The 15,348-nt window shown below is 48.9% G+C and overlaps 1 protein-coding gene across 13 annotated transcripts in view, besides 11 other annotated features; it reads right to left on the bottom strand.

Annotated features, from left to right (window-relative positions):
- The window catches only part of DNMT3B (DNA methyltransferase 3 beta), a 46,972-nt gene that overhangs the window by 30,316 nt on the left and 1,308 nt on the right, over window positions 1–15,348 (bottom strand). The gene's annotated exons all lie outside the window — the stretch shown is intronic.
- Window positions 481–982: an enhancer, noted in NCBI's record as "H3K4me1 hESC enhancer chr20:31365865-31366366 (GRCh37/hg19 assembly coordinates)". NCBI's record gives its function as "activates a minimal SCP1, AML or CMV promoter by ChIP-STARR-seq in primed H9 embryonic stem cells {active_cell/tissue: H9 hESC(primed)}" and the evidence as "EXISTENCE:reporter gene assay evidence [ECO:0000049][PMID:30033119]".
- Window positions 486–615: an enhancer, noted in NCBI's record as "active region_17723". NCBI's record gives its function as "activates an Ori minimal core promoter by ATAC-STARR-seq in GM12878 lymphoblastoid cells {active_cell/tissue: GM12878}" and the evidence as "EXISTENCE:reporter gene assay evidence [ECO:0000049][PMID:35858748]".
- Window positions 1,018–1,566: an enhancer, noted in NCBI's record as "OCT4-H3K27ac-H3K4me1 hESC enhancer chr20:31365281-31365829 (GRCh37/hg19 assembly coordinates)". NCBI's record gives its function as "activates a minimal SCP1, AML or CMV promoter by ChIP-STARR-seq in primed H9 embryonic stem cells {active_cell/tissue: H9 hESC(primed)}" and the evidence as "EXISTENCE:reporter gene assay evidence [ECO:0000049][PMID:30033119]".
- Window positions 3,214–3,919: an enhancer, noted in NCBI's record as "OCT4-H3K27ac-H3K4me1 hESC enhancer chr20:31362928-31363633 (GRCh37/hg19 assembly coordinates)". NCBI's record gives its function as "activates a minimal SCP1, AML or CMV promoter by ChIP-STARR-seq in primed H9 embryonic stem cells {active_cell/tissue: H9 hESC(primed)}" and the evidence as "EXISTENCE:reporter gene assay evidence [ECO:0000049][PMID:30033119]".
- Window positions 4,625–5,331: an enhancer, noted in NCBI's record as "H3K27ac hESC enhancer chr20:31361516-31362222 (GRCh37/hg19 assembly coordinates)". NCBI's record gives its function as "activates a minimal SCP1, AML or CMV promoter by ChIP-STARR-seq in primed H9 embryonic stem cells {active_cell/tissue: H9 hESC(primed)}" and the evidence as "EXISTENCE:reporter gene assay evidence [ECO:0000049][PMID:30033119]".
- Window positions 8,301–8,802: an enhancer, noted in NCBI's record as "H3K27ac hESC enhancer chr20:31358045-31358546 (GRCh37/hg19 assembly coordinates)". NCBI's record gives its function as "activates a minimal SCP1, AML or CMV promoter by ChIP-STARR-seq in primed H9 embryonic stem cells {active_cell/tissue: H9 hESC(primed)}" and the evidence as "EXISTENCE:reporter gene assay evidence [ECO:0000049][PMID:30033119]".
- Window positions 10,377–10,978: an enhancer, noted in NCBI's record as "H3K27ac-H3K4me1 hESC enhancer chr20:31355869-31356470 (GRCh37/hg19 assembly coordinates)". NCBI's record gives its function as "activates a minimal SCP1, AML or CMV promoter by ChIP-STARR-seq in primed H9 embryonic stem cells {active_cell/tissue: H9 hESC(primed)}" and the evidence as "EXISTENCE:reporter gene assay evidence [ECO:0000049][PMID:30033119]".
- Window positions 10,979–11,580: an enhancer, noted in NCBI's record as "H3K27ac-H3K4me1 hESC enhancer chr20:31355267-31355868 (GRCh37/hg19 assembly coordinates)". NCBI's record gives its function as "activates a minimal SCP1, AML or CMV promoter by ChIP-STARR-seq in primed H9 embryonic stem cells {active_cell/tissue: H9 hESC(primed)}" and the evidence as "EXISTENCE:reporter gene assay evidence [ECO:0000049][PMID:30033119]".
- Window positions 12,408–13,071: an enhancer, noted in NCBI's record as "H3K27ac-H3K4me1 hESC enhancer chr20:31353776-31354439 (GRCh37/hg19 assembly coordinates)". NCBI's record gives its function as "activates a minimal SCP1, AML or CMV promoter by ChIP-STARR-seq in naive and primed H9 embryonic stem cells {active_cell/tissue: H9 hESC(naive and primed)}" and the evidence as "EXISTENCE:reporter gene assay evidence [ECO:0000049][PMID:30033119]".
- Window positions 13,072–13,736: an enhancer, noted in NCBI's record as "H3K27ac-H3K4me1 hESC enhancer chr20:31353111-31353775 (GRCh37/hg19 assembly coordinates)". NCBI's record gives its function as "activates a minimal SCP1, AML or CMV promoter by ChIP-STARR-seq in naive and primed H9 embryonic stem cells {active_cell/tissue: H9 hESC(naive and primed)}" and the evidence as "EXISTENCE:reporter gene assay evidence [ECO:0000049][PMID:30033119]".
- Window positions 14,402–15,067: an enhancer, noted in NCBI's record as "NANOG-H3K27ac hESC enhancer chr20:31351780-31352445 (GRCh37/hg19 assembly coordinates)". NCBI's record gives its function as "activates a minimal SCP1, AML or CMV promoter by ChIP-STARR-seq in primed H9 embryonic stem cells {active_cell/tissue: H9 hESC(primed)}" and the evidence as "EXISTENCE:reporter gene assay evidence [ECO:0000049][PMID:30033119]".

Below are 15,348 nucleotides of genomic sequence, written 5' to 3'. Positions count from 1 at the left end.
GGAGACATACCAGCCCCTGCCAGACAACCCGTGCTAGCCTCGCAGTTTATCTTCTATCTGTCCATCCATCCATCCATCCATCCATCCATCCATCCATCTATCTTAGAGACAGGGTCTCACTTGGTCACCCAGGCTGGAGTGCAGTGGCGTGATCACGGCTCCCTGTAGGCTTCAACTCCCAGGGCTTCAGTGATCCTCCAGCTGGGCCCACAGGTGTGTGCCACCAGGTGTGGCTAATTTTTTGTAGAAACAGAGTCTGGCTATGTTGCCCAGGCTGGCCTCAAACTCCTGGCCTCAAGGGATCCTCCCACCTCAGCATCTCAAACCAGGGTACCTTCTAGAAGCCACACCTTGTATTGCGGGCTCCAAGCTGCACTGGCGCCACTGGCATCGCCCACCAGGGGGCACCGTGAGCTCAGTCTGATGAGCCCAGTGGCGCCCCCAGGCAGAGGTGCAATCTGTGGTGAGAGCTCCCAATTCCAGACCCTGCACCTGCCCATGGCATGGGGCAACTGGACCTCTGCTGCTACTCCCTGTGTGGCCCAGGAGCCACGCAGGCTACAGTACCATGAACTGAGAGCTGCTTGGAAGAACTGTTGGAAGTGGGAGCTGGCTGGAGAAATCTCCACCACTAAGCTAGATGTCCTGAAGCAGGGTTTTCATTTTTTTTTTTTTTGAGACAGAGTCTCCCTCTGTCGCCAGGCTGCAGTGCAGTGGTGCGACCTCCGCCAGGCTGGAATGCAATGGCACGATCTCAGCTCACCGCAACCTCTGCCTCCCAGGTTCAAGCGATTCTCCTGCCTCAGCCTCCTGAGTAGCTGGGATTACAGGCATGCGCCACCACGCCCAGCTGATTTTTGTATTTTTAGTAGAGACAGGTTTCACCATGTTGGCCAGGATGGTCTCGATGTCTTGTCCTCGTGATCTGCCCACCTCAGCCTACCAAAGTGCTGGGATTACAGGCGTGAGCCACCACACCCGGCCTGAAGCGGGATTTTCACAAGACATTTTAACACACACAAGTCATGCCTAGGTGATTAATATGCATGTTAAAGCAGCATTGTTCAGATTATAAACATGTGCGCTGATACATAACACATAGGCTTTCTGTGCTTCACATGATCCAGAGTGTGTATCAGCACCTGTTAAGGAATTTCCCCTACCAAGGACAAGGGACGTGCCTGAATCAGACCAATCAGCTGCTTCTCAGCCCTTTTTCTCCCAAGCCCTGACCCGGAAGAACAGGCTGGCTGACCTATGGCCAGTTCCTATGAGACAAAGCAGTCAGAATCCCAGGAAAGCTGCTGCGGTGTCGGTTCAGAATAATCATTAATTTCAAGCGTTTCACCTCAGGCCAAATCAGTGAACTAAGTAACCTAGTGGGCCTGGCATAGAGTGGGAGGTGGGGCTACCTGGTGTACCTGGTGTCTCCAGGAGGGTCCACCTCCCCAAAGTGCTCTGGGGGGAGGACACACAGGGTTTGTTTGTGGCCAGGAGCTGGTAGCAGACCAGAGGCCTGGAGTGAAGGATGTGACCTCCTTCGCCTTCATCCAGGGCCTGGGGTTCTAATGTGTGCTGGGTTTCGCAGGCAACATTGAACCCCATTCCTCAGACAGGCCCTAACTGGGTCAACAAGAAGCCAGACAGGAGTCTCACCTCCTAGACAGACCCAGGCTGACAATGATTAACCACCCTGGGCCTTCCCCCAGGGCCTCAGCAGTGCCAACTGGCCACCAGCCTACCCAACGTGTGGGCAGCACACCTTCCAAAACCCATATCTCAACATTCAGGAAAAGCCTCAAGCCCCTAGAACAAGACCTGTGGGTACTGGAGAGACAGTCCAGGAAGAAAACCCACAATAAATGGCACTAGCTACCTGGGTGTCCCCCAGGAGCAAGCTGAGCACTTATATATGCTTTCTTCTCGTTGCATAATTCAATGTGATTTCATTTAAAATTCCTTCTGTTTTTATCACGACCCTACGTTTGTAGTGAAATTAACTACCCTCATTGCCTTATAGCCACAGCTGTGTAGACAGCGCACACCAACTTCAGAACCTGCACCCATGACTAAAGATGCCCAGCTCAGTTCCTCCCCCACCCCGCTTCAGTCTACACGCAGGCCAAGACAATCTAGCCTCGAGGCATGTGCTGCTGTGTTCTCTCAGCCTGGAAGCCCTCCCCAACTCCCTACACCTCCTGCTTCCTTTCTCAGACCTCAAAACCCACAGCTCAAAATCCAGGAATAAAAGCTTCTCTCCTAGGCCTTTCTTCCCACATATATAAATATATAAAAATCCCCCCAATAAGGTCATCTTTTTTTCAGTGTTACTATGTGTCAGGCACTGTTTTGGCTTTACTTATCTTAACTCATTTAACCTTTAAATGTGGTAAGTACTGTTATTCCTGTTTTGCAGATGGAGAAACCAAGACAGAGACTGACATACTACCTCCTTGATCAATATATAGGGAAAGTAAATAACATACAAATTTAACTACATGTTCTTAGAATCAGGACAAGAGAAATTAAATTAGCATCAGGTGTGTACCAGTGGATACAAATCTCCCCCACCTCTTTTCTATGTATCTCACTGACTTCATGATTCAAGGCTGGCATTTCCAGATAACATGGCCCCCATCACAAGCCAACTGCTTTATCTAATATGACCTATCCAGAGTGGCAGACATGCTGGATTTAGAACTGCATCATCCCACACTGCCACTGTAACATTAAGTAGCTAACAGTTCCCAGGGCCCTACTTACTGTAGGCTGAACACTGTCTACCACCATGGATTTTTTTTTTTTTTTCTTTTTTTAAGATCAAGTCTCTGTCACCTGGGCTGGAGTGCAGTGGCGCGATCTCGGCTCACTGCAACCTCCACCTCCCGGGTTCAAGCGATTCTCCTGCCTCAGCCTCCCGAGTAGCTGGGATTACAGACTTGCACCACCATGCCTGGCTAATTTTTGTATTTTTAGAAGAGACGTGGTTTCACCATGTTGGCCAGGCTGGTCTCAAACTCCTGACCTCAGGTGATCTACTCGCCTTGGCCTGGGATTACAGGCGTGAGCCACTGCACCCAGCCTGTCTGCCACCTCCTTTAACCCCCACCCCATCCTGGGGCAGGTCTTATTATCCCCCTGCCTTCAACAGACTCAGATGAGTTAAGTCACCCAGAGAAGTGGCAGTGCCAAATCTCATGCCCAGGCAATCCAGGGCACGTGCCTGGAATTGCCGTAACTGAGACAAGACAGACAAGAATTACAGAAGTTATGAACAATGAATGCATCACCCATCCCAGGGATGAAGGGAGCTTCGTGGCTGGGACATGATATACCAGCTGAGCGTTTCCCTTCACAGGAGGTGGCTGCCTAACCTTGTGATGAGAGGTGAACTCTGACCCTTTCCCAGAGGCTGGGGTCCAGCGTGTGATTCAGAGTGGGCAGCAGTGCTGGGTGGGCCCACCCACAAGCTTCTCCCCGAGGGGCCTTCCTCATTAGTGCAGCAGGGTGCCTGTGCCCCGACTGAACCAGGTCAGATGTACTCAAATGCAATGTGGCAGACAGAGGGGTAGGTGGCAACCCCCAATTAGACTCAGAGGAGGCTCAGGGACTCGCCCCAACCCAGCAGTAATGCTGAGAACTGATGTCACTCACTTCCTCCAGGCTGATACCAGCAGCAGAGCTGTTTCAGAGCACTTCGTAAATGTTAATTGCATTAATTAAACCTCACAATGCAGGAAGGGGGGTCACTTTGGTATCTGCCCCAACCCCTGGGGTGCAGTAAAAAATTAAAAACTAAAATCCTACATTCAGTGGAGAGTATTGATTTAAAGAAAAAATAAATAAAAATTCCACCTCCACAGCCTATGTTAGAGAAATCTAGGGCCAGGTGCAGTGGCTCAAGCCTGTAATCCCAGCACTTCGGGAGGCTGAGGCAGGTGGACCACCCGAGGTCAGGAGTTCAAGACCAGCCTGGCCAACATGGTGAAACCCCATCTCTACTAAAAATAAAAAAATTAGGCCAGGCGCGGTGGCTCACGCTTGTAATCCCAGCACTTTGGGAGGCTGAAGCGGGTTGATCACTTGAGGCCAGGAGTTCGAGACCAGCCTGACCAACATGGTGTAACCAGTCTCTACTAAAAATACAAAAAAAAATTAGCCGGTCGTGGTGGTGGGCGCATGTAATCCCAGCTACTCAGGAGGCTGGGCAGGATAATCACTTGAACCCGGGAGGCGGGGGTTGCAGTGAGGTTGAGATCGTGCCACTGTACTCCAGCCTGGGCGACAAGGGGGAGACTCCATCTCAAAATAGAAAAGAAAAAAGACAAGACAAGACAAGACAAGACATGGGAGACCCCAAAAAGACGGGAGGATGGGAAGGAGCAAGGGTTGAAAAATCACCTATCAGGTACAACGTTCACTCTTTCGGTAATGGATACACCAGAAGCCCAATCCCCACCAGTAAGTAATAAACCCATGCAACAAACAAGCACATGTACTTCTTGAATCTAAAAAAAAAAAAAAAAAAAAAAGGCCAGGCGCGGTGGCTCAGGTCTGTAATCCCAGCACTTTGGGAGGCCGACGTGGGCAGATCACGAGGTCAGGAGCTCGAGACCATCCTGGCTAACATGATGAAACCCCGTCTCTACTAAAAACACAAAAAATTAGCCGGGCATGGTGGTGAGCACCTGTAGTCCCAGCTACTCCGGAGGCTGAGGCAGGAGAATGGTGTGAACCTGGGAGGCAGAGCTTGCAGTGAGCGGAGATAGCACCACTGCACTCCAGCCTAGGTGACAGAGCGAGACTCCGTCTCAAAAAAAAAAGAAAAAAAAGACACCATAAAACAATGCAGTAAGTAAGCCCAGGGAGGGACACCACACCTAGGTGAAGTAGAGAGCGGGAAGGATCCAGGCAGCAGGGACAGCACATCCAAAGGAAAGGGGGCCAGACTCAGGCTGTCCACACTGGCGGCGGCAGCAGAACACATGACAGAACACAAGGTCCCAGTACTGTGCTTTTGCTCTGTCTGATAAGGAACTTACCCTAAATTCCAGAAAACATCAGATTTACAGGAAAGCGTAAAAAAAAAAAAAAAAAAAAAAAAAACCACTGCCGGGCGCAGTGGCTCATGCCTGTTAATACCACCACTTTAGGAGGCCAAGGCTTGAGCTTGGGCTCAGGAGTTCAACGCCAGCCTGGGCAACACAGCAAAACCTCTTCTCTATTAAAATATTTCTTAAAATTAGCTGAATGTGTCGGCCTGCCCCTGTAGTCCTAGCTACTCGCCTGTAGTCCCACCTCCTCGGAGGCTGATGGGGAATGATCACCTAAGCCTCGGAAGTTGAGGCTGCAGTAAAGCTATCGTCATGCCACTGCACTCTAGGCCCAGTGACAGCACAAGACCCTGTTATAAAAAAAAAAAAAAAAAGCCCAATATTTCTCTCAAACCCCAGTTTTATAATCTGTGAAATAAAGTAACCCACCCAATTCACTGGGAAGTTGGTACCAAGGACCCCTACATAGATGACACAGTCATGATACCTGAAGTCACTTATTCTCATGTGCCATCTGGCTACCCACCACAGCACCACACCACAGGGCCAATCAAGAAGTATCCACCCCATCACCCTCCACAATTCAGAATGCGTTTGGGGAATTGCTCAGTGCCTCTAGGTCATGAGTACATGTACCACTGTCATCCTACAGTAGAAGCTGGGCCCTTGGCATAGTAAGCAGAATTATCAGAAGAGTGTGTCCATACAAAAAATAAACTAGGCGTGGTGGCACACACCTATAGTCCCAGCTACTCAGGAGGCTGAGGCAGGAGAATCGCTTGAACCCGGGAGGTGGACGTCGCAGTGAGCCACTGCACTCCAGCCTGGGCAACAGTACAGGCTCAGGCTCCCTCTCAAAAAAAAAAAAAGCCAGGCACAGTGGCTCACGTCTGTGATCCCAGCACTTTGGGAGGCCGAGGAGGGCGGATTACATGAGGTCGGGAGTTCAAGACCAGCCTGACCAACATGGAGAAACCCCGCTCTCTACTAAAAATACAAAATTAGCCGGGGTGGTGGCACATGCCTGTAATCCCAGCTACTCGGGATCGTGCCATTGCACTCTAGCCTGGGCAACAAGAGCGAAACTCCATCTCAAAAAAAAAAAAAAAAAATGTGTCCAAACAGGGAAAAACCAGACAAGTGGCTATCTGCAGACTGTGCATGACACCAAAATATACTCAGATGTTTGTCAACGCACTGGAATAAAATAATGTCATTACCTTTTAGATAAGTAACAGGAAAAAAAAAACTAGGACCATAAAGATCTGAAAAGATATGACAGTAACTTTAGAGTCTAAACTTTTTGCCCTTTATACAGAAATCACAAACACCCAGCCCCTTCCCCTATATCCACTTTGAGAACCCCTTGAAGGGTGTGGCAGCCCCAAGGAGTGGTCAATGGTAACTCAGAGAATGAGGGGCAGCATTGGAGCAGAATCCTAGGCACTGCTATGCCCAATTCCTGTGGCCACCTACCCCTTGGCAAAATCAGAGCCAACAGCCCTGTCCCCTCCCAAGGGGGCAAAGGAGGTCAATATTCTGGAAAGAGACCCCCTCAACCTTGGCCCCTCCCTCACAGCAGGCTGCACCTGTGGCTTCAACTAAGAACGCCTTAAATCTCAAGTCTACCTATCTACACAGTATTTAGTCATCTTAAGCCTAAATACCTACACAGCAGGGATACTGGTTCAGTCTTTGGGATAGTAATCTTCACTGTGTCATCTAAAATGCCTAATGTCTATATCCTGTTACACAGGATTCTACTGCTCAGAAACCACCCAGTTCAAAGCTCTCGCCAAGGCCTCTGTGCAAGGGGGTTGCTGCAGTCCCATTTGTCATAGCAAACACTGCAATCAAATCACGGTCAAGAGGACTGGTTGACTAAATTACCTGCTTCCACAATAGGGGGCAAAGAGTGCAGTACTTATTGTTAGACAAAGTTATGTAAAGTGAAAACAAGAAACCTGCATAATGCAACATCAATTATTGATGTTTAAGCCATTTCTCTGCAGCATTTCTTCTCTAACTATAAAAATTCATACTCAGAAGGAAGGTTTGGGGGGTAACTACCTTAAGCCCATGTAACTTTTACAATCGGAAAACATAACTCGCCTGTCTGAGAAACATTTATTTGAATTAGGCCACTCAGGTTTAATCAACATAATTATTTGATTATTTGTATATGGTATGAGATAGGGACCTAATATTTTTCCCCGTAAGTAAAGCCAGACACCTATGAATACATCCCAACTCTATCTCTTATTTGAACTTCCCATATATATGTAATATGTTTTGAGGCTCACTTTTGTTTGGTATTTATCCTTTACCACTCCTTTTTTTTTTTTTTTTTTGAGATGCGGTCTTGCTCTGTTGCCCAGGCTGGAGTGCAATGGCATGATCTCGGGTCACTGTAACCCCTCCACCTCCTGGGTTCAAGTGATTCTCCTGCCTCAGCTTCCTTGGGATTACAGGCACATGCCACCACGCCCGGCTAATTTTTGTATTTTTAGTAGAGATAGGGTTTCAGTATGCTGGCCAGGCTGGTCTCGAACTCCTGACCTCAGGCGATCCGCCCACCTCAGCCTCCCAAAGTGCTGGGATTACAGGTGTGAGCCACTGCACCCAGCCATTGCCACTACTTTTAATCACTACAACTGCTAGAGCAAGCCTGCAAGCCTTATTGAAAAGTTCATTTTCTCCCTTTAGTTTGTGGTCTCTCATTTCCTGTTCTCTTCTGCTCTCTAGATTTCTTTAAGGGAGCTTAGTTCTTCTACCAACAGATAAAGGCACAGCATTTTTAGTTGTTTCAACATGGATAGACTTTCAAATAAATTATTTCTATCGTAACCAGAAAATATGTCCTTGCACACTATGTATTGAAAAGGTAAAAATCACAACACAAAGAAAAGCTAGAAATGTTATATTCACAGCAAAAAAAAAGATGCCAGGGACAGTGGCTCATGCCTGTAACCCCAGCAATGTGGGAGGCCTAGGCAGGAGGATTGCTTGAGCCCAGGAGTTCAAGATCAGCCTGGGCAACAAAGTGAGACCCCAACATTACAAAAAAAAAATTTAGGCCGGGCATGGTGGCTCATGCCTGTAATCCCAGCACTTTGGGAGGCTGAGGCAGGCAGATCACCCGAGGTCAGGGGTTCAAGACCAGCCTGACCAACACGGAGAAACCCCGTTTCCACTAAAAATACAAAATTAGCCGGGCATGGTGGCACATGCCTGTAATCCCAGCTACTCAGGAGGCTGAGGCAAGAGAATCACTTGAACCCGGGAGGCGGAGGTTGTGGTGAACCAAGATCATGCCATTGCACTCCAGCCTGGGCAAAGAGCGAAACTCTGTCTCAAAAGGAAAAAAAAAAAAAAAGTAAGGCGGAGCATGGTGGCTCAAGCCTATAATTCCAGCACTTTGGGAGGCCAAGGTGGGCGGCTCACCTGAGGTCGGGAGTTCGAGACCAGCCTGATCAACATGGAGAAACCCCATCTCTACTAAAACAACAACAACAAACAAACCAACAAAAATTAGCTGGTGGTGGTGGCACATGCCTGTAATCCCAGCTACTTGGGAGGCTGAGGCAGGAGAATCGCTTGAACCTGGGAGGCAGAGGTTGCGGTGAGCTGAGATCACACCATTGCATTCCAGCCTAGGCAACAAGAGTGAAAAACTCTGCCTCAGAAAAAAAAAAAAATTACAAAAACTAGCCTGATGAGGTGGCGGGCACCTGTAATTCCAGCTACTCAGGAGGCTGATGCAGAAGAATCGTTTGAACCCAGGAGGTGGAGGTTGCAGTGAGCTGAGATCATGCCATTGCACTCTAGCCTGAGTGACAGAGCAAGACCCTGTCTCAAAAATAATTTTTTTTTAAATTAACTGAGCATAGTGGTGCACAAGTGCCTGTAGTCGAAGCTACTGGGCAGTGGGGGCTGCAGTGGGAGGACTGCTGGAGCATTGGAGTTGAGGCTACAGTGAGCTGTGATTGTAGTACTGAACTCCAGAGACCTGTCTTAAAAAATTTTTTAAAAAGTAAGAAATAACTGCTAGTACGTGTCATAACACAAATAAATCTCAAATATCTCACAATAAGTAAAAGAACCCAGACTCGAAGGGCTATATAATGTATGGTTCCTGCTTGAATTCAGGAGGCGGAAGTTGCAATGTGCCAAATCGTGCCACTGCACTCCAGCCTGGGCAACAGAGTGAGATGCTGTCTCAAAAATAATAATAATGTATGATTCCATTTATATGACATTCTGGAAAAAGCAGTACTGCAGGGACAGAAAACAAATCTCGAGAAGGAAAACAGAAATGTCAAAATTAAGGCCTGCAGATAAGGGAACTGCATATATACAAATGGCTTTAAAAGAAGCCCATGATCTCACATAAAAACCACTTTTCAAAAACTGTCCACAATTACCTAGTGGGGGCTCAGATCTGCCCACCCCAACGGTCAAGAAGCAGGCCTGTAAAACAGTCAGCTGAACCCACAGAGAGCACCAAAGCATCTTAACCCAGCGCATCTTGTGTGTCCTGCCAGTTCTGTGGGTTCAGCCATGTGCTGGCAGAGGTTTTGGAAAGAAATTTGCAACAGTGGGCCCGGCATGGTGGCTCACGCCTGTAATCCCAGTACTTTGGGAGGCCGAGGCGGGCAGATCACGAGGTCAGGAGATCAAGACCATCCTGGCGAACATGGTGAAACCCCGTCTCTACTAAAAATACAAAAAATTAGCCGGGCAAGGTGGCGGGCGCCTGTAGTCCCAGCTACTACTAGGGAGGCTGAGGCAGGAGAATGGCGTGAACCCGGAAGGCAGAGCTTGCAGTGAGCCGAGATCTCGCCACTGCACTCCAGCCTGGGCGACAGAGCAAGACTCCGTCTCAAAAAATAAAAAAATTTGCAACAGTGTTTTAATGCAGTTCTACTCCTTGCTAGTTTTGTGGTTGTAGTAACAATCATATTTAGTACTGAGCAATTCCCCTAATTCAGCATCCTGCTTACAGCTCAGCATGTAACATCCTAGGGCAACATGAGGACACAGGTGAGGTTTGCAAATTCACCCAAGGACTTGGGAAAGCCAGTGCCTAAGCTTGAGGCTCTTCCTCCAGTGCCATTGTCGGGGTAGGGCTTCCTTACCCATGGTGCCAAACAACTCCCAGAGTCAGAGAAAATGGCTTGCCTGGAATATAATGAACACTTAAGTCTTCATCACAACCATCTTTTCACAAAAGAGCGGGGGCCTGTAGCTGGCTCAGTGGGACCCTAGTTAGTGCCTCCCCATTCCCATCTCCAGAGCCTCCTGTATCCATTCAGATGAGTTCTACTAGGCTTCAGGAACCATGATAGTAATTAGGAATCAAAGGCAGGCAAGGGACCAGGCATGGTGGCTCACACCTGTAATCCCAGCACTTTGGGATTACACTTGAGCCTAGGAATTTGAGACCAGCCTGGGCAACATACCGAGAGCCTATCTCTATAAAAAATTTTAAAATTAGCCAGGCACAGAGGCTCATGCCTGTAATCCTAGCACTTTGGTAGGCCGAGGCGGGTGGATCACCTGAGGTGGGGAATTCGAGACCAGCCTGACCAACATGGAGAAACACCATCTCTACTAAAAATACAAAATTAGTCGGGAATGGTGGTGCATGCCTGTAATCCCAGCTACTCGGGAGGCTGAGTCAGAATTGCTTGAACCCGGGAAGCGGGGGTTGTGGTGAGCCGAGATCCCGCCATTGCACTCCAGCCTGGGCGACAAGAGTGAAACTCCATCTCCAAAAAAAAAAAAAAAAAAATTAAAATTAGCCAAGCCTGGTGGCTCTCACCTGTAGTCCTAGCTACTCAGGAGGTGACTGAGGTGAGAGGATCACTTGACCCAGGAGTTCAAGGCTGCAGTAAGCTGTGATCGCACCACTGCACTCCAGCCTAAGCAACAGAGTGAGCCATGTTGCCATGCTGCCAGGGCCCATCACTGTTCTGGCTGCAGCAAACGCCCTACAAAGGCATCAGCACTTCTGCAGGAGCTGGGGCCCAGTGGCAGCCTGGGTTCCAGCCCCAGCTCTGGCCCCAGAACACACACATACAACAGGACATAAATGCTGCTGGAATCCAGAAAAGCCTACTAAGAGAGAGGCCTTCTTCCAAAGGAAGAGTTAGACCCTTGACTCCCAAGTCCCCTCCCTCAGCCTGCTGCTCTGGAGACAACCACTCTTCTTCAGACATGCAGGCTGAGGCTCTGGACAAGAACATGAGACAGCTGGGCGCACAGGCTCACACCTGTAGTCCCAGCACTTTCGGAGACTGAGGCAGGATTGCTTGAGCCGAGGAGTTTGAGACCAGCTGGGGCAACATAGTGAGACTTTAATGTTTCTACAAACAATTTTAAAAATTAGATGGGCGTGGTGGCACGTGACTAAGGTCCCAGCTACTTTGGAGACTGAAGTGGGAGGATACTGGAATGAGCCCAGGAGTTCAAGGCTGCAGTGAGCTATGATCGCACCACTGCACTCCAGCCTGGGTGACAATGCGAGACTTGTCTCAAAAGAAATAATTAAAAAAAAAACACACACAAGAGCTTACAGACTGGGACAAGTGGAGGAACAGATACCAGACTGAGACCTCACCAGTCTCCTGGCCCTGTAGCCAGACCTACAGGGCAAGGTACTGGAAAATTGAGTATCCCTTAATATTGGCGGGAACACGAGGGAACACTAAACCCTACAATATTCTCAGGCAGATAAATGATGTTGTACCCATAAAACAAGACAAGGACCCCATTAAAAATTGAATTTGGGCCAGGCACGGTGGCTCACGCCTATAATCCCAGCACTTTGGGAGGGAGGCTGAGGTGGGCAGATCACCTGAGGTTGGGAGTTCGAGACCAGCCTGACCAACATGGAGAAACCCCATCTCTACTAAAAAAATACAGAATTAGCCGGGCATGCACCACCACGCCCGTAGTCCCAGGTACTCAGGAGGCTGACGCAGGAGAATCACTTGAACTCGGGAAGCAAAGGTTGCAGTGAGCCGAGACCACGCCATTGCACTCCAACCTGGGCGACAAGAGCGAAACTCCATCTCAAAAAATAAAAATAATTAAAAAAAAATTGAATTTGGGTGTGTTGGCTCATGTCTATAATCCCAGCACTTTGAGAGGATGAGGAGGATAGATTGCTTGAGCCCAGGAGACTAGCTTGGGCAATGAGGTGAAACCCCATCTTTACAAAACAAAAATTGGCCAGGCATGGTGGTGCATGCCTGTAGTCTCAGCTACTCGGGAAGTTGAGGCATGAGAATTGCTTGAACCTGGGAGGCAGAGGTTGCAGTGAGCAACCGCCACTGCGCTCCAACCTGGGCAACAGAGCGAGACTGTCTCAAAATATAAATAAATAAGTAAATAAAAAATAAACTAGAGCAGAGGTCATACCTATGCTATTTTGTTTGAATGAATGAAAAAATCTGAGTGAAAAGTGACCTAGAGGCCATGTGTGGTAGCTCACACCTGTAATCCCAAGCCTTTGGAAGGCTGAGGCAGAAGGATCGTTGGACCCAGGCTTTCAAGGTTAGCCTTGGCAACACAGCAAGACCTTGTCCTTATAAAAAAAAAAACTTAAGCTATCTATATCTACGTAGATATATACACATAGAGACAGGGTCTCGGTCTGTCGCCCAGGCTGGAGAACAGTGGCAGGATCTCAGCTCACTGCAACCTCCACCTCCTAGGTTCAAGCAATTCTCGTGCCTCAGCCTCCCAGTAGCACGGATTACAGGCATGCACAAACACGCCTGGCTACTTTTTGTATTTTTTGTAGAGTCACGGTTTTATCACGTTGGCCAGGCTGGTCTTGAACTCCTGGCCTTAAGTGATCCTCCAGCCTCAGTCTCCCATGTGCTGGGATTATGGGTGTGAGGCAGCACCCATATAAAAGCATAGCCAGGCACAGTGGCTCACGCCTGTAATCTCAGCACTTTGGGAGGCCAAGGCGGGTGGATCAGGAGGTCAGGAGATTGAGACCATCCTGGCGAACACGGTGAAACCCCGTCTCTACTAAAAATACAAAAAAAATTAGCCAGGCATGGTGGCCGGCGCCTGTAGTCCCAGCTACTTGGGAGGCTGAGGCAGGAGAATGGCATGAACCCGAGGGGCGGAGCTTGCAGTGAGCGGAGATCGCGCCACTGCACTCCAGCCTGGGAGACAGAGCCAGACTCCGTCTCAAAAAAAAAAAAAAAGAAAAAAAGAAAAAATAAATAAATAAATAAATAAAAAGCAGCCGGGTGTAACAGCCACGCCTACAATCCCAACACTTTGGGAAGCCGAGGCGGGTGAATCACTTGAGGTCAGGAGTTTGAGACCGGCCTTGCCAACATGATGAAACCCCGTCTCAATTAAAAATACAAAAATTAGCCAGGCGTGGTGGTGTGCGCATGTAATCCCAGCTACTCGGAAGGTTGAGGCAGGAGAATTGCTTGAACCCGGGAGGCAGAGGTTGCAGTGAGCTGAGATCACACCACTGCACTCCAGCCTGGGTGACAAAGCAAAACTGTCTCAAAAAAAAAAAAAAGAAAGAAAAAAAGAGAAAGAAAATGCTCACCACCAAGACGTAATAGTACCTGTATCTTCCAGAGCCTCAGTTCTATCACCTGTAAAAGGGTCCCAGTGAGAACATGAGCCCCCCAACAAAGGGGAGACATATCTGCTCAGTCTCTTTTTACAAGAGTGGCCTGCACATGAAATGAATTCCATACTTCACCAGCCCTGGTCCTCCGTGAAACTGGAAATCATCCTGAAAATTCATGATTTAAAAGAAAAAACTCCACTCAATTAGTAGTATGTGCCTGGGCTAAGGACTGGTGTGTGAGGAAGAGCACACAACCTCATACCTCTGAAAAGTTTCACATTTAGCTGAAACTGGAAAAGGCGTCTGAGCCTGGAGGTGAGGCAGCCGGCATAAGAGCTGGTCTAGGAAAAGGAATCCCAAGGTAAGTTTTCCTTGAAGAACTTGCCCAAGCCCCCACTGGCAGCAGGTCCATGGGGCTGCAATAATGAGGGGCGACAGGCGCCTCTGGATCACAGGCCCCACGTGGCTGGAGGAAGGGAAGGAAGCAGCCTCTCAACCCCACCTCCCTTGCTCCTCCCTTAGACCCCTGCAGCTCCCAGCTACCGTCTTCCCCTCCCCCCATCCTTTGCAAGGGGTGGGGGTTATGTCTATGACTTTAAGAGCAGGATGCCACTGGCCCCAGTCCTTGTCCCTTTGTCTCAGCACTCTCCACCCCAATGGGAAAAGGTAAAGGATCTCACTTAGTTCTGCAATTACACCTTTGCAGTAGGCCCCCATGCGTGGCCGGGAGGGCTTTAAAAACGGCCCCAACCCTTATAAAACAAAACCAAGACTCCGTTCGAAAGGGAACAAAGGCGGTTCTTCCTGCCAACTCCCTAATCGTGGACAATGATTGAGAAAAGCTTTCAGAGCTGCCTTCATGAAGGCAGGAAAAGGAGAGGCTGGCAGGGGTGCCTCCCTCCATCCCCAAATCTCAGGAATGGCCACCCTAAAATGAGGGGCTATTCGTTATTAAGTACAGACATCAACACTCACCATGTGCTGACCCTACACAGGCACTATCCCACTGCCTCTTTACCCAGGCCCAATGTGGTAGAGGCTATTATGCCTAAACATCTGAGGAAGATCAAGGGCTGAAGAGGTTAATTCACGCATAAGACTGGTTTCATCCTTACACAACCCTATTAGTAGGACTATTGCTAATTCACAGATGTAATAATTAAGGCACGGAGAGCAATGAACTTGGCGAGACAGGGTTTAAACACATGATGAACTAAGAACTATGCTTCCTTAAGGAAGGAAGCTTGCTTAGCCCGTGTGCTAGCTAGTGATTCCAACAATGGCAAACATGTATTGAGTGCTTACTGTATACCAACCCTATAAACTAAGTACCATCATCTCAACTCTGGAAAAATCAAGTCCGCACCTGGCGTTTCCAAGGTGGGTGAACAAGAAGCCCCAGCAGGCCTGGTAGAGGAGATAACAGCTGTTTCCCAAAAACTGCCACCCGTCTGCCACAACCCACCGCATCCAGAACTCAGGAGGCAACTCAAAGTTCATACTCTGCCCTTAATTCCCTTTAATTCAAACACTTCCCAGCTTCGGGGGAGGGTGGAAACACGGAGGCCCAGCGAGCCTCTCTCCTAGACCAGGGGAGGAAAAGGGAGCAGGGAAAGCTGGAGGCGCGGGCAAGACCTGGGCTCGGAACTCCATCCACAGGTGAGATCCTCCAGCGGG

This window comes from Homo sapiens, chromosome 20 (assembly GCF_000001405.40).
Source record: "Homo sapiens chromosome 20, GRCh38.p14 Primary Assembly".
Taxonomy (NCBI): Eukaryota; Metazoa; Chordata; class Mammalia; order Primates; family Hominidae; genus Homo; species Homo sapiens.
The sequence above is the reverse complement of the archived record's forward strand: the minus strand, read 5'-3'. Positions and strand labels throughout refer to the sequence as shown.